At 39.7% G+C, this 25,630-nt stretch overlaps 1 protein-coding gene and 1 pseudogene across 7 annotated transcripts in view; one reads left to right on the top strand and one right to left on the bottom strand.

Annotated features, from left to right (window-relative positions):
* Positions 1 to 25,630, bottom strand: part of MAP3K13 (mitogen-activated protein kinase kinase kinase 13) — a 206,134-nt gene that overhangs the window by 51,674 nt on the left and 128,830 nt on the right. For 5 of the 7 annotated variants that reach the window (XM_047449193.1, XM_017007456.2, NM_001242314.2 and 2 more), the window contains one exon: positions 8,365 to 8,924. The exons of the other annotated variants lie outside the window; for them this stretch is intronic. In XM_047449193.1, the coding sequence (XP_047305149.1) occupies positions 8,365 to 8,839 (475 nt within the window). In that variant the 5' untranslated portion in view covers positions 8,840 to 8,924. The remainder of the gene's footprint in view (positions 1 to 8,364; positions 8,925 to 25,630) is intronic. 7 annotated transcript variants of the gene reach the window in all.
* Positions 18,578 to 20,013, top strand: RPL4P4 (ribosomal protein L4 pseudogene 4; annotated as a pseudogene).

Below are 25,630 nucleotides of genomic sequence, written 5' to 3'. Positions count from 1 at the left end.
TGAAGAGATCTCAGAAGGGACCACTCTACAAGGCCATTCTGAAGGTACCAACTTCATCGTCACCCAGGATGACCCTTACCCTCTGTCTCCCGGCAAAAGATAGAACCTTCCTATGTACCTTGGAACTATAGATCAAATATTCATAAACATTAGTTTGTATCAATTTTTAAATCACTGAAATAAAGCAGAGCAGAAGCCTCCAATATACCTTCCTCCAAATAAAACATATCCTACCACTCCTGCAGTCCTACCTCCTCACCTTAAGCTTGCATGTCAGTCAATTTACCCGTCTGTCTCTATGCAACTATCCCTACCCCATCACCCACTATCGGTGTTATTTTATTCCTCTTTTAATTTCTGGTGCAGATGCTCAGTGAATCTTTGCTAATTTTTTTTTTTTTTTTTTTTTTTTTTTTTTTTGAGACAGAGTCTTGCTCTGTCACCCAGGCTGGAGTGCAATGGCACGATCTCAGCTCACTGCAACCTCTGCCTCTGGGGTTCAAGCAATTCTCCTGCCTCAGCCTCCCAAGTAGCTGGGATTACAGGCACCAGCCACCATGTCTGGCTAATTGTATTTTTCAGTAGAGGCAGGGTTTCACCATGTTGGTCAGACTGGTCTCGAACTCCTGACCTCAGGTGATCCACCCGCCTTGGCCTCCCAAAGTGTTGGGATTACAGGTGTGAGCCACTGCGCCGGGCTGCTAATGAATTTTTTAATGATACTCTCCTAAGAACTTCATTATGCATACTACTTACATTAATATTTACCTTTTATTGAGGACTTACTATATACCATACACTAGCATAGTACTTTACATATATCATATGTTCAATCCTTACAACAACCCTACAGGTATGGCCTTATTATAGTTATTTAAAGATGAAAAAACTAAGGCATAGGGTGGTTAAGTAAATTCTCCTAAAATCATATAACTGATAACTGGTAGAACTGGGCCTAGAATCCCAGGATTGGCCAATTTTACGAAGAGTGCTTTCTCTCCTATATGACATTGCCTCTCAAAAGTAATTGAGAGAGCCATTAGTCATTAGTCATGATATGCTTACTTATATAGCTGTAGTATTTTCAAGTTTCTTTTTCCTTAGAGTTTGAATATTTTTTTGCACCAGAAATTTAAGAAGGGTCATTTCTAAGTGGTGGCATTATTAGTGCTTCATATTCTCTATTGTTTTCTGTCTTAAAAACTATTTTTACCATAAGCCTATATCACTTTTATAATGAATAAAATGCTATTTTAAATAAAGCACTTCAAAAATTCAATCAATATGTGCTTTAATCTCATGAAACTTTTTTAAAAAAGAATGTAATCCATTGAGGCTTCTCCTTTCCCCCTTCTTACCAGAGTATTATCACAGGTAAGAAACAAATATCAAAGAGCTAAGAGCCCCACGGAGTGAGAAAAATGATGCCAGTGTGAAAGGTCATGAGAGATTCTCCTCAGATCACTCAAAAGCCAGTGTTTGCAGAACATGGAACAAAGTAGTGTTGAGTTAGCTTCAAAGATACTCTGGTCTTGAAAGCAAATCAACTCACCATCCACTGCATTGATGAAACAATTTATCTGCCTCTAGAAGTGAGCTACACTTCCCTCTTCTCTAATTTTCTCTACCTTAAGAGAAAAGAAATCCTGTAGATTCTTAATAAAATGTTTTCTCATTACAATTGCTAAAACCTAACCTTCAAAATATAACTACATAGAGCAAAAAGTATATAAAATGAGGGTGGTTTATGCCGTGGGCCTTCATCCCGTTCTCCTGATATGAGCAGTATTAAAGGTTTCCACTCTACTGAAATTGAATAAATGCTAGATAAAAGCAAATCTCTCTCAAATACAAATAGCTGACAAATTTAAAATCACCCAAGAAACACATGATACCAAGTGAGATTTGGGAGGAAACAGCAAGTGATAGCGTTGGCTATTTTAACTATCTTTAGGGTTTCTATAGAGGACAAGTATTAATAAGTGGCTCATGAAATCTCACTTTCACCTCCATGGGCTCATACATGCAGCACACGTGGTACACAGATATCGATGGCATATTGTAAGATAGTTTTCCTCATTAGGGGTCCAGTGACAAAAACAGTATCATTGGCCAGGCGTGGTGGTTCACGCCTGTAATCCCAGCACTTTGGGAGGCTGAGGCAGGGTGGACCATGAGGTCAGGAGTTCGAGACCAGCCTGGCCAATATGGTGAAACCCCGTCTCTATTAAAAATACAAAAAAAAAAAAAATAGCCAGGCATGGTGGTGCAGGCCTGTAATCCCAGCTGCTTAGGAGGCTGAGGCAGGAGAATTGCTTGAACCCGGGAGGCAGAGGTTTCAGTGAGCTGAGAATGCGCCACTGCACTCCAGCCTGGGTGACAGAGCGAAACTCTGTCTCAAAACAACAACAACAACAAACAAACAAACAAACAAAAACAAAAATAAAAAAACCTCAGTGTCATTTTGACAATTCTGGGGGCTGAATAAAGTATTATTACTGGACTCTGGGGCAAGAACATAACTGAGCAGTACGTCTTTGAACAGCTTTACACAAGCCCAAATTACCCTAATTTTTAATAAAATAACTACTAAAATTAGACTGTTTGGGTGTCTTTTTTACCCTATTTACTCAATCTTTAGTTACTGTTAAACATTGGAAACATTAGAGAAAGATCAGAAAAGTCAGAAAAACACAGATTTTATGTGAAAGCTCATCCCACACCCACTTGCCATCTACCCTCCTAGTTTGTGTTCATGTTTACAGCTGTGTAAAAATGGCAGGTGATGTCTAATTTTTTCTACTTTTTCACATATCATGTATCCTTCATGTAGTTCCTATTTTTATTATAAGTTCTAATAGTTGTTCTGTACCCTCTTACCTGTTCTGCATAAGTATATCCCCAGATTCAGTTCCTTGGTTAAAGAGGACAGTTTCCTGGCTCCAGGAATACATACATTCCAAATTCTGTCCAAAAGGATTTTGATAGTTTCGCTCACAATAGCAAGGTATGAACATGTTGGCAGTAAGTGTTATCAATTCTTTTTTGGTTCTATTTTAGTTTAGTGTTTTATAACTTTGCACTAGTTTAACTGCCGGTGCTCACATTTGTTTAATATTCATAATCTGCTTTGCATGAATTGTCAAAACCCCTTTGTTCATTTATCTATTAGCCTTCCATTGTTCACATAAACTTGAAGAAACTCCTTCTATATTTCTTTGATACAAATGAGAATATTTTTATAAGCCTTTTTCTTTTAATTTTATTATTTTTGAACAAAGTATTCTATATCATTGTCTATTATTTCCTTTGTAATTTCTTCCACTGCCTAGTCTACCTTCTAAAAGTTATCTATAGTTCATTTTTAAAAATTTAATCTTTACTTTCATCTGAAACTTATTTTGGTGTATGGTATGAGGACAGATATAAATTATTTTTTTCCACATTGCTATTTAATGATTCCCAAATAATTTGTTTAAAAATCCTTTCTTTTCATATTGCTTTAGGATACTTACATTGTAACTCACTATGTTTTTTAGAAATAATGCCTATTAGTATTTTTATAAGATGATAAACAGACTAATTACTAAAATACAAATACATTTGGCACTCAAATACAAAGTATTCCGAGTATTGCAATAAAAAATAAAATTATCCTCTACCAACCTCTACCTCATGCCTGTGCTATTCAACTATGTTCAGCCAAGTCTTGATTATCCATAGAAAAATAAAGTGGATAGTACTGGTAATGAAAGAACACAGATTGTAAAATAAAGAAAGTAATGCTTCAACAATGTTTCTATCCATCTTTTTACTGAAACTAATTATCAGAAGTAAAATCGATTGATATGAATTTAGCACTCTTTGACCAGTCTCAAAGTCCCTATCAATAATGAGCAGAGAGCTCAGAAATGGGAAAATGGCAGAAAAAAGGAAATTGGTGATAAGGATGCACAAAATTAAGGGCCTAGATAATTGATGAGTGAGATAACTAATCTCATAATAATGAAGAACTGACTACACTCTCTCTAGAGTTAGTCCCAAACTTTTCGTTGCTTCTATGTCTGTCCCACTGCTACTCTTCCCCAGCGTTTATCTTCAATTTTATCTTCCCAATGACTATGATCTTAATTCCAATATCCACCAGAATCCTTAGGACTGAGAAAAAGACACATGCCCACCCACTTTAAGGCAACAGTTCTCCTTTGTTTATTCAGACATGGCCATGACAGTACTTGCTTTGAGACTGGAAACTATTTGACAATAAAAGATTAAATTGCATGCTACTTTACTTGGGCTCACTATCAACATACTCAAAGGGAGGTGAGGACATCATTAAAATTTTTTAAAAATCCAGTGACAGTTCCTCATAAGTACCAAATGTAGGGACACATCTGTGATATGTGTTAGCCTTCGGTTGACTGCAATGCAGGATTGAAGATTGGCTCCCTGATCCCAGACCTGACAAGGAAATTTGCTAGTCTCTGGCTAGCGAAACCCTTTCATGGTGCACAGCAACACCAGCCCTCAGTAGGATATCCTGCAATCTGCTGAAAGGCCAGGCACCTGCTGTGCCTGTGTCAGAATCTTAAGCTGACCAGGGCTGTTTCTTATTTATTTGTGAAATAAACCCTTTTGAAAGTCACATAATCAGTTGGAAAACAAATTAAATACTAGTTTACAGAATAATAACAAAAAATTTTAAAACCTCCTTTTGACAAACATATGGGCTGGGTGAATCGCCCCTCATTCTGAGTCTGAACCTCAGTGATGCACTTGGATCCTGAGATCTTCAAATTATCACCAAAAGTAAGTCTAAGACTGGACAAGCAGAGACCCTAAAAACCAAATGTACTCGATCACTTATGCAGCTATCAGTAGGTTTTGTGTCCAACCAAAGAACAGGGAACTTTTAAAAAATAACAAATTAGGGCCGGGCGTGGTGGCTCATGCCTGTAATCCAGCACTTTGGAAGGCCGAGGCAGGTAGATCACCTGAGGTCAGGAGTTCAAGACCAGCCTGGCCAACATGGTGAAACCCTGTCTCTACTAAAAACACAAAAATTAGCCAGGCGTGGTGGCACACGCCTGTAATCCCAGCTACTCGGGAGGCTGAGGCAGGAGAATCGCTCGAACCCAGAAGGCAGAGGTTGCAGTGAGCCAAGATCACACCCATTGCGCTCCAGCCTGGGCAACAGACCAAGACTCCATCTCAAAAAAAAAAAAAAAAAAAAAAGCAATTAGAAATGGTTATCTCTGGATTGTGGAAAGACAGGTGATTTTAATTTTCTTCTTTATTTTATTTTCCTGCTTATATTTATTTCCAATGTAAAACATAATAATGCTGTTAGCAAAAAACAACTAATTTCCTTTAAAACCTTGAAATCATGGGGGCCAGGGGGTGGAGGGAAAATGAAAGCAGAATGTGTAGCGTGTCGGAGTATGTATGAAAGAGAGAGAGAGAGAGATACACATACATAAAACCAGGGACTGACGAAGAATTTTTGCATGGAGCAAGAATAGATGATATGGTTGACAAGTCCTGAAAAGGACCTGGAAGTGATAGATATACCAGTAATCCCAATATAGTTATGGAAAACAGGTATAGAGGGAGGAGTTGGTATTTGGTTTAAGGAATGTATTGCAGAAACAGGGGAAATAAAATGCATGAAAAAAGTGGATAATGGTAACTGAAGTCTGCTGGCTGTTGTGGAAAAGCTGTCAACAGTCTTGACTAAAAGAGATGAACAGACTTTTAGGGGAGGGTCCCAGAGTCTAAAATTCAGTTATAAAATAAATAGAATCTCATTTTTGGTCCATATTTTCCCTTTCCAGAATTTCTTGGTGAGAGAACTCATAAAAATTTAATCATTTACATAAGGCCACAAAGATATGTATCAAAAGTCTTAAAACAACACATCTTTTGAATTCAACTATTCCTCTCCTAGGAATTTATCCCAAGGACTAATCAAAGATATATGCAAAAGTAAAGGAGTAGACAAATGGTCATTGCAGTATGGCTTATAATAGCTAAAAATGTAAACAAATTAATGTTGAGCACTAGGGGATTGCTTAAAAATATTGGCACATTCACATCATTTAATATTATGTGGCCATTAAAAATGATGCTGAAGAATTATACTTAAGACATGGAAAATGTTCACAATATGAAGTGACAAAATATTACAAAACAATATGTGATATAGTTTGGCTCTGTGTTCCCACCCAAATCTCATCTCGAATTGTAATTCCCACGAGTCAGGGGAGGGGTCTGGTGGGAGGTGATTGGATCATGGGGCGGATCTCCCCCTTGCTGTTCTGGTGATAGTGAGTGAGTGCTCACGAGATCTGGTTGTTTGAAAATGTGTGGCCCTTGCCCCTTCTCTGTCTCCTGCTCTGCCATGGTAAGACCTTCTTGCTTCCCCTTCGCCTTCTGCCATGATCCTGTTTCTTGAGGTTTCCTAGCCATGCTTCCTGTTAAGCCTGCTGAACTGTGGGTCCATTAAACCTCTTTTCTTCATAAATTACCCAGTCTCAGGTAGATCCTTAGAGCAGTGTGAACATGGATTAATACAGTATGACTCCATTTTTTAAAAGTATACACACACATACACAAATAGACTAACCTAATATATAATGAAAACATTAATGGTTATTCTCAGGAGATGGAGGATCATAGATTATTTTAAAATTTTTTTGGAGCTTACCTGTATTTTCCAAATTTCATACGTATATTACTTTTGTTATCAGAAAAAAAAGTTACTTTGAAGAATATTAATGAGGTTATACAAGATCTTGTCCTTTGCGAGGACATGGACAGAGTCAGAGGCCATCGCCCTTAGCAAGCTAATGCAAGAACAGAAAACCAAATATCACATGTTCTCACTTACAAGCAGGAGCTAAATGATGAGAAAACATAGACACAAAGAGAGGAATGACAGACACTGGGGCCTACGTGAGGGTGGAGGGTGGGGGGAGAAAGAGGATCAGATAAAATAACTATTGGATACTGAGTGATGAAATAATCTGTACAGTAAATCCCCATGGCACAAGTTTACCTATATAACAAACCTGCGCACGTACCCCTGAACCTAAAATAAAAGTTTAAAAAAATGAGGTTATAAAGAACACCAGGGCTTCAAAAGTGTAATATTAATATTTGAATTAGAATATTGAATATATTGTTACACAATGATGGGAGTTAAAAACTTAATTTTTTTTTTTTTGAGGCAGAGTTTCACTGTATCAACCAGGCTGGAATGCAGTGGCACGATCTTGGCTCTCTGCAGCCTCTGCTGGGTTTAAGCAATTCTTGTGCCTCAGCCTCCCAAATAGCTGGGACTACAGGTGCACACCACCATGCCCAGCTAATTTTTGTATTTTTAATAGAGACGGGGTATCACCATGTTGGCCAGGCTGGTCTTGAACTCCTGACCTCAGGTGATCCGCTCCCCTTAGCCTCCCAAAGTGCTGTGATTACAGGCTTGAGCCACCACGCCCAACAAAACTTCCTTTTTTTAAAAGCTGTGTGATCTAGAAATAATAATGCTTCTCAAGATTGGTTAGATATTTTGTCATTTCCTCAAAATGTAAGCTTTCTATGCCTTTATTGTAAGAAAATAACTCCTTTTTACTATAATCTAAGTTTTACTATAATCTAAGCCCTACAATCTTCAGGGGCATTACCATGTGGCTTCTGTCTGGTTTTAAATTGGTCCAGCAGCCATCAGATTTTTTTGATTGTATAAGTTATCAGTAAACTTTTTAAAATTTATTTTTATTTATCCATTAATTAATTATTTTAGAGAAACAGTCTCACTCTGTCACCCAGGCTGAAGTGCAGTGGCACCATCATAGCTCACTGTAGCCTCAAACTCCTGGGCTCAAGTAATCCTCCTGCCTCAGCTTCCCAAAGTGCTGAGATTATAGGTGTGAACCACTGCACCTGGCAAAAAATTTTAAATATGTGGCCACTGCATGATTTCTTTATGTATTATATATCTGCACAGCTATATTAAAATATGAAATATATCTGAAAATGTATGAAAATAGAAATTTTAAATGATGAGATAAACATGATCTCTAATATTTTCTTCTTATAATCCCATGGATTGTTTTATATGTACTGTACTTTGGACACCGCTAGACTGGATGACCACAAAAGATGGGCTACAACCAAAAAAGACCCACCAAATGTGAATCTCTTCCCTTCAGCTGGTCTACTGGAAACTGAAATGAGGTATTCATCTGTCACTAGTTCTTTAATTTGCCCAAAGGTCATAGGTTATCCAGCTAATGGTGGTGACGGTGGTGGTGATGGTGTGTTTACACAAGAAATATCTTCCAAGTCCATATTCTAGCTTACCTTGCTGCTGCAATTTGTAATCAGTGGAATATGCCTTCCCAATGATATTCCATACAGGCCTTAAGCATCCAAATAGTCCTTCAAGAAACCCACCACTGCCACTGCCTGACCTGCTGAACTGAATCTTTATGTCTTCAGTTCCGCTTGTGCTCTCTCCGTCCACCGTGTTGCTGTTCCCCTGAGACACCGCCGTCTCTGATTCATCGTGTTCCCTTAGCTGAAGAACGCTGTTCTCAAACTGGTCCCTGGAATCCTCACTTACGCTCGTCAACACTGTTGTGGTGACGGGGCTGTGCACGCTCTCGATTAGCTCTGTTCGTACCATCCCCTTTTCCTGCTGGTCCTCGAGCAGCTTGGGAGAAGGGTGGTTCCCCATAGCTGTGAGCTCATCTTGTAGTCCATTGAAGGTTTTGCTTTCACTGAAGGGTAAGTGTGGAGAAGAGGAGCAGCTCAGGTGCTCCTGAAAGTTGGCCATCGTGCCATGAGTATAACCAAAGTCCTGAGATGACACTCAGAAGATTTTTGGGACAGAGTTCTGACTTAAGAGAGGGCTCCAAAACCTGAGAAAAACAGGAGGGAGATAAGAGATCATCCTTTCTTTAGTATGCACACTACGACACTTCTGTTTGCATTAAAAAAAACTGAAACAATGGGGATTGGTTAACCTGTGGGTTAGTCCATGTGATGGAAATGAGTGCAGCAATGAAAAATTATGCTGTGGAAGAGTATTTATGAACATGACAAAATATCCATGACACATTAATATAAAAAACAGGTTAGAACAATATATACAACATTAACTTAGAAATTTATTTAAAAGGACATACATACAAGAAAAAAGACTTCAAGGAAAAAATCCAAGGAACTAACAACAGTTAATTTTAGGTGGTTAGATTTGGGGGAGGTTTATATTGTTGTGATTTTCAAGGTATTCTAAGCATTCTGTTTTAATATCTATTATCTTTTTTTTTTTTTTTGAGACGGAGTTTTGCTCTTGTTGCCCAGGCTGGAGTGCAATGGCGCGATCTCGGCTCACTGCAACCTCCGCTTCCCAGGTTGAAGTGATTCTCCTGCCTCAGCCTCCCAAGTAGCTGGGATTATAGGCATGCATCATCACACCTGGCTAATTTTTGTATTTTTAATAGAGACAGGGTTTCTGTATGTTGGTCAGGCTGGTCTCCAACTCCTGACCTTAGGTGATCCAACCCCCTCGGCCTCCCAAAGTGTTGGGATTACAGGCGTGAGCCACCGTGCCCGGCCTATCTTTTTAATCAGAAAAGAATGTTTCCCTTTCTACAAGGGAAATTTAGTTGTTCTGATATACACATCTTTAGTACAAACTACATCCTGTGTTATAAGTTGCTACTCATCTTTTCTCTTTGCTTTCGTGTCTTATCCACTGGGGCACTGCGTCACTTTATAAGGCATTCATTAAGTCATGGAGATAAATGTCATGTGTCTGTGACAAGACAAGTTTCTAAGATATAAAATTTGTTTTTATTATACTGCACCAAATCTGGGGTAACACAACTAAGCCCTAGCTCTTTAAACTTGTTCTTTGCTTCTGATCTGTCCATTAGCACCATTTCTTGTGGCCACCTAACCTTTAAAAGTGAAGATTTGTTCTAGATTGGCCAGATCACGCATAGTCAATCTTAAATTTATTCAAAGTATGTTTTTTTTTCTTTTTTTTGAGACAGAGTCTCGCTCTGTCACCTAGACTGGAGTACAGTGGTGTGATCTCGGCTCACTGCAACCTCCGCCTCCCAGGTTCAAGCAATTCTCCTGCCACAGCCTCCTGAGTAGCTGGGATTACAGGCACGCACCACCACGCCCAGCTAATTTTTTTTTTTTTTTTGTATTTTTAGTAGAGACGGGATTTCACTATGTTGGCCAGACTGGTCTCAAACTCCTGACCTCAGGTGATCCACCTGCCTTTGCCTCACAAAGTGCTGGGATTACAGGCATGGGCCACTGCGCCCAGCCCAAAGTATGTTCTTATCAGAAATGTACTTTCTTTTTAAATCCCTTTGTAACAGTCATTCCTTCCTTCACTCTGTACTAAGCATCTAGAATATGCTAGAGGTCAGGGTATGAAGATGACCTCATTTTGCAGAGGGGGTAAAAGAAAGACCAACAAAAAATGACAGAACAGTGCTTATAATCAATCAAGTAAGTGCTCTGAGAGCACAGAAGAGGGAGGAATAGTTTCAGGGAAAGGTGCTCAAAGGTGGTAACTTTTGATCCATTTGAAGGAAGTGTAGGCATTCATTAAGCAAGTCAGGAAGGTGTGAGTGAAGGAAGAGGGGGAAGGTATTACAGGTGTGGGGGAAACTGTGAAGGAGGGCATGGAAGCTTGAAAGACTATAGAACAGATGAGAAATCCAAAGTGGCTGGAATGTAGGCTATATATAAGTGCATGCAGAAAGACATGAATGGACAGATAGGTAGGGACTAGACTATAAGGAGCTTTGCATGCCAGGCTGAGTTTGAGATTTTATACTGAAGGTGATGGGGAGCCATAGTATCTTATATTGCGGATTATGGATTAAAATAGACCCTCTCAATTTTATTATTTTCTTATCTTCATAACTGAGACCTAAATTTTAAGCCTTTTATTCATTACCATATCCCATGAATAGCTTGTATTAGTGAACCAATGAAAACATCGTATCCTTGGCTGGCGTGGTAGCTCACGCCTGTAATCCCAAAACTTTCGGAGGCCAAGGTGGGCAGATCATGAGGTCAGGAGTTCGAGACCAGTCTGGCCAGCATGGTGAAACCCCATCTCTACTAAAAATACAAAAAATTAGCCGGGCATGGTGGTGCATGCCTGTAGTCCCAGCTACTCAGGAGGCTGAGGCAGGAGAATTGCTCGAACCCAGCAAGCGGAGGTTGCAGTGAGCCAAGATTGCGCTACTACACTCTAGCCTGGGCGACAGCGTGAGACTCCATCAGAAGAAGAAGAAGAAGAAGGAGAAGAGGGAGAGGGAGAGGGAGAGGAAAATATCCTTTCCTCTGAATTCTTATTCATTCACTGAGCTCCTATTACATGGTATGCAGTGTGTTAGGCATTAGTAAATGGTCCATAGGTTCCTACCCTTTGGGAAATCACAATCCAGAAGGAAAGACCGATAGATAACGGCCACATAGTTAGATATGGGACAAAGATATGTAAAAGATGCAATGGGAGCTCAGAAAAATAAATATAAAATGTGTCTAGAGATGTTATAAGAAGAAGTTTTGCTTGAATTGAGTCTTGAGGGGTGAATTAATGGTCACTAGGAAAGAAAGACTAGGCATTCCAGGTAGTATGGGGAAACAGCAGGAGATAACTCTTAGAAAAAGTAGGCAAAGGCTAGATTATGGTAGGCCTGTATGACAAGCTAAATCTTTGGGGTTTTATCCTCATGACAACAGAGAGCCATTAAGGAATTTTAAGCAAGGGAGTAATCTGGTCAGATAAATTAAAATCACGTCTATAGAAGTAGAGGTTAGATTCAAAGGGAAAGACTAAAGGTCCAGTTAGAAGGTACAGTTCAAAAAGAAATGACTTGGACCTGAATAAGTCAGTTAGCAATGGCAGTGAAGAGAACAGGAAAGATTTAAGAGGTAGAATTAGTAAGATCTAGTAATTGATTAGACATGGATGTGGGTAAAGAAAAAGGGGAGAGGAAGACTTTTCAAATCACTTATTTGGAATAATGAATAGACAGACAATGTCAATAACTGAGATATGAAATGCCAGAAAGAAAGGTTGGGAAAGAAGACGATTAGCTCAACTATGGACATACAGAATTTAAGGCCTACTATGCATCATGCACTGAGCTAGGGAGCTAGGCTTTTACTGATGCTATCTGATTTTAAAAAGACACTTTGTAGAGAGAGATTGGAAGAAAGATAAAGATGGGGCTCATTTATCACAGGGGCAGAAGTTTCCAAATCATAAAGCTAAATTCAAAATGTGTTTATTGAATATATACTCAGCCTGCACAACATGGCAAAAAGTACAAAAAATACAAACATTACAAAAAATACAGAAATTACAGAAAATACAAAAATTAGCTAAGCATGGTGGCATACGCCTGTAGTGTCAGCTACTTGGGTGGAAGGCTGAGGTGGGAGAATCACTTTAGCCCAGGAAATCGAGGCTGCAGTGAGCTGTGTTTGTGCCACTGTACTCCAGGCTGGGCAACAGAGCAAGGCCCTGTCTCAAAAAAGAAAAAAGAATATATACTGAGAATTGTGCCATGCACTAGCCTAGATTCTGTGGATATAGAACGTTACTGTTACCATTACTATTTTTAATAATAAGTAAGACAAAGTGCTTTACAATTTACAGAAGGCTGTTTACATAATCAGCAATATACTGGTAAATCAGCTCTTTCCAAAACAACAGCAATCTGGTTTGTAGTGTTTGCTCATTTCCCTGGTGTAAATATTCCCACCACAGCAGATTTCAAGCTAATAAAAGTTTAACAACTTGCTTGCAAAGTTTCTAAATATTTGACAATTGGCTCTTAAAAGCTGGTGTATAAGCCAGCTCCAGCACCATAATCCTTGTAATAATGTCATTTCTATTTCACAAGAGAAGAAATTTCTCTAAAGTAATATACTCAGTAAGTAATAGAGCAGGAATTAAAATCTAGCTCAAAGTTCAGATTCCCCAAATCCTTTGCCTTTTTTACAACACGATGGAACATTTTATGACTCCTCACTTTCATAGAGTGCTTTCCAGGTTAAAAAATGCTGTTATCTGTGATCATTTGATCTAAGTTTTTGATCCCTAGGTAAGGAATCCAGAACACAGAATGATTATCCCTATTTTTCATGGAAGGAAATGAAGGCCTACAAAGAGGTAGATGCTAAAGGTCACAGAGCCGGGATGAAATACCGGGTTATTTTCCCTAATCATGACATTCTCTCCTGTACCAGGCAATCTCTGAAGACATGGTTCCTATCCTGTTGAAGCTCACAGACTACTTACGGAACTAATAATTACACTGAAGGAATAACCTCCTGCCATCATCCCCCATGACAAGTGAGCCATATTCCGTTCTACAGAGCCAAGAGAGATGGGAACAATGCTAAAAGAGGTAGGATTTGAGATGGACCTTTAAAGGTAAGGCGTGTGACAGACGGAAGGAAATCAGGGGCGAACAAGAGCACTGGCAGAGGCAGGGAAGCGGGAATGACCAGAGCGTGCGTGATGGGGCTGCTGACCCAGAAACAGCAGTGGCTAATGTGGGGGAGCAGTGTGCAGCAAGGGTAACTCCTGCTGCCACACGTGGGCTCTGAAAGCTTACGATACAGTGCAGGTGATTCTTCCCTCCTAACAAACCAGAGAGATCACTTTAACTGGACGGGGTTAGGTTAAGAGGCACTTAAATTATAGGGTATGGAGAAATCTAGGCCTTGAGAAGCTCCCTGGGAATATAAGGTTGGGGCAGGGGGAAGAAAGAAGAAAAACTGGAGCCCTTTGTTACAGACACCATTCCACCCACTCCAGCCTCCCCTCCCCTGTTCTTTTCGTGCTCATCTCTGAGCTTTGACATTACTGATCTCCTCATTATACTTTCTGGCTGATCACCTGCCACAACCTTGAGCTGTCTCCTGCCTTTGGCCTCTCTGACCTTGCCCTGCCTCATCTCTTTTAAGACTGCTGATTTCATACTATCTGACCTAGCCAGTGACTCAGCAGTTACTTCCGGTCTGCCTTGGCTGCCAGGACTCTTGGTTATCCTATACAGCAGCAGTCCCCAACCTCTTTGGCACCAGGGACCAGTTTTGTGGAAGACACTACTTCCACGGACCAGGCAGGGGGGATGGTTTCAAGATGGTTCAAGTGCATTACATGTATTGTGTACTTTATTTCTATTATAATTACATTGTAATACATAATGAAGTAATTCTACAACTCACTATAATGTAGAATCAGTGGGAGCCCTGAGCTTGTTTTCCTGCAACTAGACAGTCCTATCTGGGGGTGATGGGGGACAGTGACAGATCATTAGTCATTAGATTCTCATAAAGGGCACATAACCTAGATCCCTAGATCCCTCGCATGCACAGTTCACAATAGGGTTTGTGCTCCCATGAGAATCTAATGCCCCATGGATCTGACAGGAGGTGGAGCTCAGGTGGTAATGCAAGTGACAGGGAGTGGCTGTAAACACAGAGGAAGCTCTGCTCGCTCACCCACCTGCTGCTCACCTCCTGCTGTTCCGCCCAGTTCCTAACAGGCCACAGACTGGTACCAGACCATGGCCTGGAGGTTGGGAACCCCTGCTATACAGCACAAGTCTTACGTGCTATTGGCTCACATGAATTGCATACCCAAATATATATGTGAATTTCAGCCAAACACTTACTTGTGTGATTTATTTTTTTGAATCAAACTATCAGACTTTATATTAATTCCTCGTAAATTTCTACTTTGTCAATTTTTTATCCCGAACTTCTGCCCAATACATAATGTTAGGATGGGCTCATACACAGAAAGTTAGAAAAACACATGTTTGTTTTGTAATTTTTTTCCTATCTCTAACAGGTTAAGGATGAATGTAAAGTGGACCTGTTCCCATTGGCATGAGAATGAGTCTAATCACAGTCATCATACGCGTTTGATATTTAAGAGATCAGGGGAAAACAGGACAATCAAGGAATATGGTTCAACCTACTTATTTCACATATGAGAATCAAATTTCAGAGAGATTGTCGACTTGCTTAATATAACATCTGACCAGTGGCAGAGCTGAGATGAGTCCTCCTTCCTCAGCCCAGCTCCTTCCACTAGCATGGTTGTTTGTTTATTTGAAGAGAAACAAATAGCCGTGGTATCATGGCCACTGATGACAAAAACAATAGCAAGTCCCAGTGCTATTCTAGATGCACTAAAACTATTCCCAAGGAAACACTAGTGCCTACCTAGCGGGGTGACCCTGCGCCTATCCACAGGCCAGCAGGAGGCTACCCACTGACTGCTCTCAGAGTAGGCAGAGGTGAGGTAAACCTCAAGGGTGTATAAAGATGTGTAGTCAAATAGGCTTCCCTCATGCTCACCAAGAATATCTAGTCCAACGGGTCCCAACAAAGGCAGAGAAATAGAGAGGTACAAGAACAAAGGGAAAGAAAAATCATCACCATGGCTATATTCAAATATGATCAGAGCTGACTCTACATTTAAGAAGAGTGTAGGAAGCTAAAAATACCTAAGTTTTACCTGTGTTTGTATGCACACCCACACGCTGCCACTGCACAGTGAAGAGACTGTTAGGTGGAAACTGCGGGAACACAGGTGGTTCCACTATCTCTGGCTGTCTTCTGCCCTCTCAGTTCCTCTCTCCCTGTGCAAATCTGGCTCAGGTACCCTCATGGGAACTGATTGTTTGGTCCTTTCAATTCATAAGAAATCAAAACTAGTATAAATTAGAAGGAGACAGAAAGGAAGTGGGGCAAGATTTTTGAATGTTGAGAGTCAAAGGGAAAAAGACAAGGAACATTGGAGGGATAAAGGGCAAGTTTGGAATGGCACCCTTATCAAAAGAAAGTACTATGGGAGCCAGGTGCGGTGGCTCATGCCTGTAATCCCAGCACTTTGGGAGGCTGAGGCAGGCAGATCACCTGAGGTCAGGAGTTCGAGATCAGCCTGCTCAACATGGTGAAACCCCATCTCTACTAAACTACAAAAAATTAGCTGGGCATGGTGGCAGGCGCCTGTAATTCCAGCTACTCGGGAGGCTGAGGCAGGAGAATTGCTTGAACCCAGGCAGGAGGTGGAGAATGCAGTGAACCGAGATGCTGCCACTGCACTTCAGCCTGGGCAATAGAGGGAGACTCCGCCTCGAAAACAAAACAAAAACAAACAAACAAAACAAAACAAAACAAAAAAAGAAAAGAAAAGAAAAGAAAAAAGAAAAAGAAAGTACTCCGGGAAGGTCTGTAGGTGAGGTGATGCTACTGCCGCCCTTACAACAGGTCCCGATCCGCAAAGGGTGCAGGAAGTGCTCCCGTATCTGCCCTTGAGGAACACTTTCCCTACCTTCTGAGTTTCTTGGCCCCAAGAGGAGGAAGTGGTTTGTGCAAAATTAGTAGGCAAGAGTTGGAGACAGCAGCAGCTGTGCATTTGGCAGGGCACTGCCAATTTCTGGAAATTACCTTGGTTTTGTGCCAAGATCCCAGGATGCAATGTAGAGAGAAAGAGGAATGGAGGAGGTAATGTGGCCAAATGGCCCTTAAATTCTTGGATTTCTATCATAGAATACAATTTTTCCCATGTTACTAATTGAGGATTTTTATAATGATCAGATTTTAAATTTTATATCATAAATATGAATAAATCAAAGATTTTGGACAATTTAGCCCCACAAAGTTTTTGATGTGACTAAAATTGAATAAAAAATTAAAGTAAGCATTATTGCTACAAGATTTATTGATTGACACTGAGCTCTTTCTAAGCTATCTTCTCTTTACTTGGCGTCTTCTTGCCTATCTTTAAAAATGAATACAACACTGCCATCTTAGTCTTCTGGTCATTTCTCTAAAATTCATATAGCAGTTGAGAACATAAAATAATTTCTGCTTCTAGGAGCATCAATCCCATTTTAAAACTTAGATTACTTTACTTGTGCATAGTAATAACATAAAATGATCTTTCCAGGATAGAGGTCTGTCACCCAGATCTTAATTTGAACTTTGAAAACATTAGCTAGCTTCTTCGAATGGAGTTGTGTGATTAGAAGTATGTGACTTCAAATCAGGTAAAAAGAATGGCCTACAATCGTGCCTTTATCCCTACTTACTCTCTTAACTGTGGACCATCTCCTGAAACGCCTATTTGAAGGAACAATAAAAACTCAAATCGACAAAATCCACTGACCTACCTCTTTTCATCTTCTTTATAATATTTCATGAAACAATTATGCATTCAAAAATATTGATTCCATGTTTACCATGTACCTATATTTTCGGTTAAGATTATGAATGTTTAATAATCTTGAAGTATGCTGGAGACATCAAAAAAATAAAAATTACAAAGAAGCAAATTCTCCATGGTGACAAATTACCTTTTGAATACCAGTACCTATAAATGCAACTGTGATTACAGTTAAAATAAGTTTATTGTAGGCTTTAAAATGAATAAAGATACTTCATTTTCAGAGTAGTAGTCTATAAATTTATCAAGAAATAGAAACTTGTGAGGCTTCAAAAATGCCTTAAGTCAAAGGTGAAACATCTTGACCAAAGGAATGATTTATCCATAAATCATATCATAAATGCTATCTCCATAAATCTTTAATAAATAATATATGGTATTTTAAGTATTAATATTCAACATTTTCTGACCTAAATCCAGCTGCCATATGAATGATAAAATCAGTAACTTTAAATGTTTTAAAAATAAGATACAGACATATATGTACCTTTAAATATATAAATATTAATAGGCATAAAAATTTAAAATGTGTATAATTAAGTAAGCATTTTAAGAAATTATGTTTAAAAGGTCAACAGTGGTTATTACTGTTGTTCTTTGAAGTTTTCTATATTTTTCCAAATTTCTACCATTAGCATGCATTATTTGTTTAATCAGAGGTTTTCAATACAAATCCTTGTTGCTTTAAACGCACAGATTAATGGGCCCACTTCACTATATTTTCAGATATGAAAAATGATGTGAAATGTTAAGGATACTGTCAGGAAAGCTAATTGTCACTGTGTGCTGAGGCTTGCAAACAGGCATAAAAAGAACTATAGGCCGGATGTGCTGGCTCACGCCTGTAATCCCAACATTTTGGGAGGCCAAGGTGGAAGGATCCCCTGAGGTCAGGAGTTCGAGACCAGCCTGGCCAACATGGTGAAACCCCAGCTCTACTAAAAATACAAAAATTAGCACACCTGTAGTCCCAGCTACTCAGGAGGCTGAGGCAGGAGAATTGCTTTAACCCGGGAGGCAGAGGTTGCAGTGAGCCAAGATCACGCCACTGCACTCCAGCCTGGGTGACAGAGTGAGACTCTGTCTCAAAAAAAAAAAAAAGAATTATAAATTCAAAATGAAAATAAAAGTGAACTTAAAAAGACGACAATGAGCAAACAAAAGTTAATGACTCCTATTTTGTTTTTACCTTTTCTACTAATGAGATTCACATTTGATTCTAGAAAAGGCAGAATGATCATGATTAAGAGAACTGAAACCCAAAACAGATGAAAAGACAAGAACATGCTTTTCCTGTGGCAGCAGCCGGGCTGAGAGGAGCGTGGCTGTCTCCTCTCTCCGCCATGGCGTGTGCTCGCCCAATGATATCGGTGTACTCCGAAAAGGGGGAGTCATCTGGCAAAAATGTCACTTAGCCTGCTGTATTCAAGGCTCCTATTCGACCAGATATTGTGAACTTTGTTCACACCAACTTGCGCAAAAACAACAGACAGCCCTACGCTGCCAGTGAATTAGCAGGTCATCAGACCAGTGCTGAGTCTTGGGGTACTGGCAGAGCTATGGCTCGAATTCCCAGAGTTCGAGGTGGTGGGACTCACCGCTCTGGCCAGGGTGCTTTTGGAAACATGTGTCGTGGAGGCCGAAGGTTTGCACCAACCAAAACCTGGCGCCGTTGGCATCGTAGAGTGAACACAACCCAAAAACGATATGCCATCTGTTCTGCCCTGGCTGCCTCAGCCCTACCAGCACTGGTCATGTCTAAAGGTCATCGTATTGAGGAAGTTCCTGAACTTCCTTTGGTATTTGAAGATAAAGTTGAAGGCTACAAGAAGACCAAGGAAGCTGTTTTGCTCCTTAAGAAACTTAAAGCCTGGAATGATATCGAAAAGGTCTATGCCTCTCAGCGAATGAGAGCTGGCAAAGGCAAAATGAGAAACCGTCGCCGTATCCAGCGCAGGGGCCTGTGCATCATCTATAATGAGGATAATGGTATCATCAAGGCCTTCAGAAACATCCCTGGAATTACTCTGCTTAATGTAAGCAAGCTGAACATTTTGAAGCTTGCTCCTGGTGGGCATGTGGGACGTTTCTGCATTTGGACTGAAAGTGCTTTCCGGAAGTTAGATGAATTGTATGGCACTTGGCGTAAAGCCGCTTCCCTCAAGAGTAACTACAATCTTCCCATGCACAAGTTGATTAATACAGATCTTAGCAGAATCTTGAAAAGCCCAGAGATCCAAAGAGCCCTTTGAGCACCACGCAAGAAGATTCATCGCAGAGTCCTAAAGAAGAACCCACTGAAAAACTTGAGAATCATGTTGAAGCTAAACCCATATGCAAAGACCATGCGCCGGAACACCATTCTTCGCCAGGCCAGGAATCACAAGCTCCGGGTGGATAAGGCAGCTGCTGCAGCAGCAGCACTACCAGCCAAATCAGATGAAAAGGCGGCGGTTGCAGGCAAGAAGCCTGTGGTAGGTAAGAAAGGAAAGAAGGCTGCTGTTGGTGTTAAGAAGCAGAAGAAGCCTCTGGTGGGAAAAAAGGCAGCAGCTACCAAGAAACCAGCCCCTGAAAAGAAGCCTGCAGAAAAGAAACCTACTACAGAGGAAAAGAAGCCTGCTGCATAAACTCTTAAATTTGATTATTCCATAAAGGTCAAATCATTTTGGACAGCTTCTTTTGAATAAAGACCTGATTATACAGGCAGTGAGGAAAAAAAGAAAAGAAAAGAAAAGAAAAGAACATATATCAGTGTTTTGATTATTTCCAAGTTCTAAGGTCCAGATGAATTACATGTGAAGGCATCAAAACTCTTGCATTTAGGATTACAAAAACAACCTTTGGTAAATAATTATCTTCAGGAACTATGAGCAAGACAGTTGTTCATGGAAAAGTAGAAGATAAAGAAATACCCTATTTTTTTAAAAAGGAAGATTACAGAATATGTGGAACTATGAACTTAAGTTGGTCCCTGACAAGATGCTAAGTATACAGTAAGCATTCATTAAATGCTAGTCTCTTTCCTTCTTTTCTTTTCCTTTTATTTTGTAACCATTTCCTCTCTTTTTTGGAACTCTAGGACTCTCCTAAGATACATAGTTTAGGAGAACAAGAATTGAAATGGTTTAAAAATTATTATTAAACCCAAAATTTAAAAGAAAAAATAAAAATAAAATTATTTTTAAAGAATTTGGTTTATAGCTGGGCAAGGTGGCTCATGCCTGTACTCCCAGCACTTTGGGAGGCTGAGGTGGGAGGATTGCTTGAGCCCAGGAGTTCAAGACCAGCCTGGGCAACACAGTGAGACCCTGTTACTACAAAAAAAAAAAAAAAATAGCTGGGCATGGTGGCATGTGCCTGTAGGCCCAACTACTTACTAGGCTGAGGATCACTTGAGCCCAGAGGGTCTAAGCTGCAGTGAGCCATGATTGCGCCACTGTACTCCAGTCTGAACAACATAGCAAGGCCGTCTCAAAAAAATAGTGCTATTATATACACTTTAAAGTTATTTCTTGTCCAGTCTGTATTCAGATGTACTTCATCATATTGAGAGCAATATTGTAAGGGCTTAAGAGAGAAGGCACTAGAGGAAGATAGACCTGGATTCAAATTGTAATCACTAACCTCGCCATAACTCTCTCTAAGCCTCAATTTTGTCATCTATAATTAGTAGTAACAACAGAATCCACCTCATAGAGTAGATGATTATACGAGATAGTATATATAAAAAAACACATTTACCCTCAATATTTGTTAGCTATGCAAATCTTTAACTAGAAAAATTAGAATAAACAGATATATGTCAATATGCTCAATATATATGTGAAATCAAGGGGAATAAAAAGAAGGGCAAGGAAAAGACAAGTAAGCTTTTCCTTAGGAAAGTGATAAGATGAGAAAAGAGAGCTAAGAAGAGGGGAACGGGTTGATATATATAGAAACTGAGGCAAGCTGAGCTTGTAACATTCATTTGGTATTATAAATGAAAGCACAAAGAATCAATAAACAGTGAGATACCAGATCAAAAGGGTGAAAGCAAGATGGAAAATAGGAGACAAAAATCCCAAATGTATGCAACTTCTTTTTCATATTTCATTTCCTTTGTCTTTAATTACAGCAGTTATTTTTACATTCTAGGTTTTAATTAAATTGCACACATAAAAAGGAAGGTTCTACATGGCTATAATATTTGGGAGAATATTAATACTACGTAGTTGTAGTATTTGGGAGAAAAAAATTGGCCGGGAGCAGTGGCTCACACCTGCAATCCCGGCACTTTGGGAGGTCGAGGCAGGCAGGTCACCTGAGGTTGGGAGTTTGAGACCAGCCTGACCAACATGGAGAAACCTCGTCTCTACTAAAAATACAAAATCAGCTGGGTGTGGTGGCACATGCCTGTAATCCCAGCTACTTGGGAGGCTGAGGCAGGAGAATCTCTTGAGCCCGGGAGGCAAAGGTTGCAGTGAGACAAGACGGCACCATTGTACTCCAGCCTGGGCAATAAGCGTAAAACTCTGTCTCAAAAAAAAAAAAAAAAAAAAAAAGAAATTAACCCTTCTGGTTTTAATACTGTGATGTTAAATTAGGAGATGATTTCATTGATTCAAGAAAATATCTCTAGGAAAACATTGCTTATGCTTTAAACATAAGAATAATTAGACCAGGGCAGGGCATGGTGGCTCATACCTGTAATCCCAGCACTTTGGGAGGCTGAAGCAGGTAGATCACTTGAGCCCAGGAGTTCAAGACCAGCCTGGGCAACATGAGAAAACCCCATCTCTATTAAAAATACACAACAAAAATTAGCTAGGCATGGTGGCACATGCCTGTGGTCCCAGCTACTCAGGAGGCTGAGGCATGAGAACCTCTTGAAGCCGGGAGGCAGAGGTTGCAGTGAGCCATGATCGCGCCACTGCACTCCAGCCTGGAAGACAGAGTGAGACCCTGTCTCACAAAAAAATAAAAATAAAAATAAAAATAAAAAATATATGCCACTTGGGAAGTGATGGATAGTGTGCTGCTTAGTAAGAATAGACTGGCTCTGCTCTCAGGAGCTTCATGACTCTAAGCAAGTGAGAAAGGAGGAAAAGTCTTTTAAAAAAGTGTTTTAAGAGTAGTGACAGGATCTCACTATATTGCCCAGGCTGGTCTTGGACTCCTGGCCTCAAGCAATACTCCCACCTCATCCTCCCAAAGTGCTAGGATTACAGGCATGAGCCACCACGCCTGGCCAAAAAATCTTTCTGAATGAAATTATATTATGGAAATTTTCTTTTCTCATTAAATTCATTGTCAGTATTTGGATTGTTTAGTTGGACAGTAAAATATAACTAGAGATATTAATATATAATACATTCTATACTTATTTTATACTATACATTAAAATCAAATAATTCATTGCCAGTTTAATATTTAGGGCTGTTGAAGAGCATCAGTAACAGACTTCGACTTCCAATGACATATATGAAAGTTCTCACAAAGCTGCAGATTCTACACCCTGTTCCTGGGCAAGTCCTAGATATACTTGGTAGGCAAGAGGCCATCCAAAGTCCTTCTGCTATCCTTGCGTTGCTTTTTCAGGCCTTTCTTAAGAATGGTAGAATCATAGATGGTTCAAGTTCGGAGGGAGCAGTGACTGGGCCATGCCTTCTATTTTTCAAGATAAACAACTAAGTCTCATAAGTTTGTAAGAGTAGAATCAAACATTGTTTATCTCTGTACCTTGTCCTTTTTCTTTTCCCACCGTCTAGCCTCAGCACCTAGTGCAGAACCTGATATAATATGGTGGAATTCAATTTTTTTGGATGAGAAGACTTTACACTCACACATAGCAATGTGATAACGTATTAACAACATTTATTGAGATTATGTGAAACCGCTCTAAACACGTTTCCCATATTAACTTATCTAATCCTCACATCAACCCTTTGGGAAAGGTATTATTATTACCCCTTGACAATAATTGGTGAAAAATTGGGGCACAGATAGGCTAAATGACTCACAGCTACTAAGTGGCGAAGACAGGAATTGAACCCAGTTCCACTCCAGCACCAGAGCCTGAGCCCTTAACCACAACACTGTATTGTCGATATTATAATGGGCTTCTGTTTAACTAAAAAAGGTCTAGGTCAGAAAAATATGGAATAGGCTCATATTTTACCTTGAACTTAGGTTCCAAACTTGGATGAAAGGTATGAATTCTTAGCAATAACTAAAGATAATTGGAGAATTCTAAAATATGCTCACTTTCTGTAGGGTTTACTCCATTCTGGTTTTTGTTTGTTTTGTTTTTTGTTTTTTGAGGTGGAATCTCGCTCTGTCGCCCAGGCTGGAGTGCAGTGGCACAATCTCAGCTCACTGCAACATCTGCCTCCCGGGTTCAAATGATTCTCCTGCCTCAGCCTCCCGAGTAGCTGGGACTACAGGTGCGTGCTGCCACACCCAGCTAATTTTTGCATTTCTTGTAGAAGTAGGGTCTCACCATGTTGGCCAGGCTGGTCTTGAACTCCTGGCCTCAGTTGATCCACCCACCTCGGCCTCCCAAATTGCTGGGATTACAGGTGTGAACCACCGCGCCCAGCCCCATTCTGTTTTTAACATTAAAACTCTATACTTGCATCATCCAATATTATAGCTTCTAGTTATACGTAGTCATTTAACTTTAATTAAAATTAAATAAAATAAAGATTTCATTCCTCAGCTGTACTAGTCCATTTTAGGTATTCACTAGCCACATGTGGCTAGTGGCAACCATATAGGACTGGGAAAAAGAACATTTCCATCATTACAGGAAGTTCCATTGGACAGTGCTGCTCTATGCGCTTTATTCATATTAATAGATTGGTCTGTTGTAAGGATTAACCAACATTGTGGCTCCCTTCGTACATGGGGATTTGCTAACTGCACAGTACTCCACTACCTTCTTTAATATGACAGGTTTGCAACCATGTTTTAGTAATATTTGTGAATGATTTAAGTATAGCTCATTCTAATGATGGTTCATCAGGATCAAACTGAATTGGGGATTTTATCTTTTAAAAGACTGTCCAAGGAATCATAGCTGTGTGTCTAAAAGGAACCAGAGGAATAATTTTCAATATCTAAGTAGGTTCATTTGTGGAGAATCTAAAAAATGAAATTAGATTACTGCTACCATCATTCCTTGAAGCTCCTAATCATAGCACTAGTGTAGGTGAAAGGCAGAAACCTAGGGGAGGGCTAATGGAGGAAAAGGTGAATAGGAACAGAAGTTTTACCAAATCACCAGAAGTATGTGTCACTTCTCAGAGGAGACTGTATTACAGATAACCAGGACAAAAGCTCCAGGATGAACAAAGCACTCCTGACTCTGGATCCAATGTCGAATTTTAATAGAGCAGTAACTAAAGCCAAATTAGTGAGAGATCCTATTGTTTTAGACTTTTACATTTCTTGTGACTTACTGTTGTTTTTGCTCACAGAAGTAGTCCTGAGCTTTAATTTTTAAAGTAATGATTCAATCAAGATGATACTCTAGAAAATGTGTGATAGAACATTTTGAGCTTTACCAACAATAGAAATTTGAAATTGTCAAAGATTGGCCATTTTTCACTTGTCTTATGTCACTGTTTTGGAATGACTCTGTGCTAGAGTGTAATCCATACCCATTGTTTAATTATTCATTGAGGGTAGTTTCAATTTCTACTCCCAATATATAGCTGAAATTTGCAGACTGCTAAAGGATCCTAGATAAATCCCATCTGTCCAAAATGAGGATGACAAGGAAGAACATCAATAAATATTAATTATTGATTCTAAGTGCTAAAAAATGATAAATATATAAGACAGTTCTAATGGAAAGAAAAATAAATGTAAAATAATAAACTATTTGTGACAGAAAACAATATGTAGTCTCTCAATACAAATGATAAATATATAAGACAGTTCTAATGGAAAGAAAAATAAATGCAAAATAATAAACTATTTGTGACAGAAAACAATATGTAGTCCCTCAATACAAAGGTTAATATTACAAAGGTAGAATTTAAAGACATATTTAGGCTGGGCATGGTGGCTCACACCTGTAGTCCCAGCACTTTGGGAGGCCGAGGTGGGAGGATGACCTGAGGTCCAGAGTTCGAGACCAGCCTGGCCAACGTGGTGAAACCCCATATCTACTAAAAATACAAAAATTAGTTGGGCGTGTTGTACACACCTGTAGTCCCAGCTACTCGGGAGGCTGAGGCAGGAGAATCACTTGAACCTGGGAGGTGGAAGCTGCAGTGAGCTGAGATCATGCCACCGCATTCCAGCCTGGGCAACAGAATGAGATTCTGTCTCAAAAAAAAAAAA

The sequence above is a fragment of the Homo sapiens genome, chromosome 3, assembly GCF_000001405.40.
Source record: "Homo sapiens chromosome 3, GRCh38.p14 Primary Assembly".
Lineage (NCBI taxonomy): Eukaryota > Metazoa > Chordata > Mammalia > Primates > Hominidae > Homo > Homo sapiens.
Note: the sequence above shows the minus strand (reverse complement) of the source record. Positions and strands in the feature narration are given on the sequence as shown.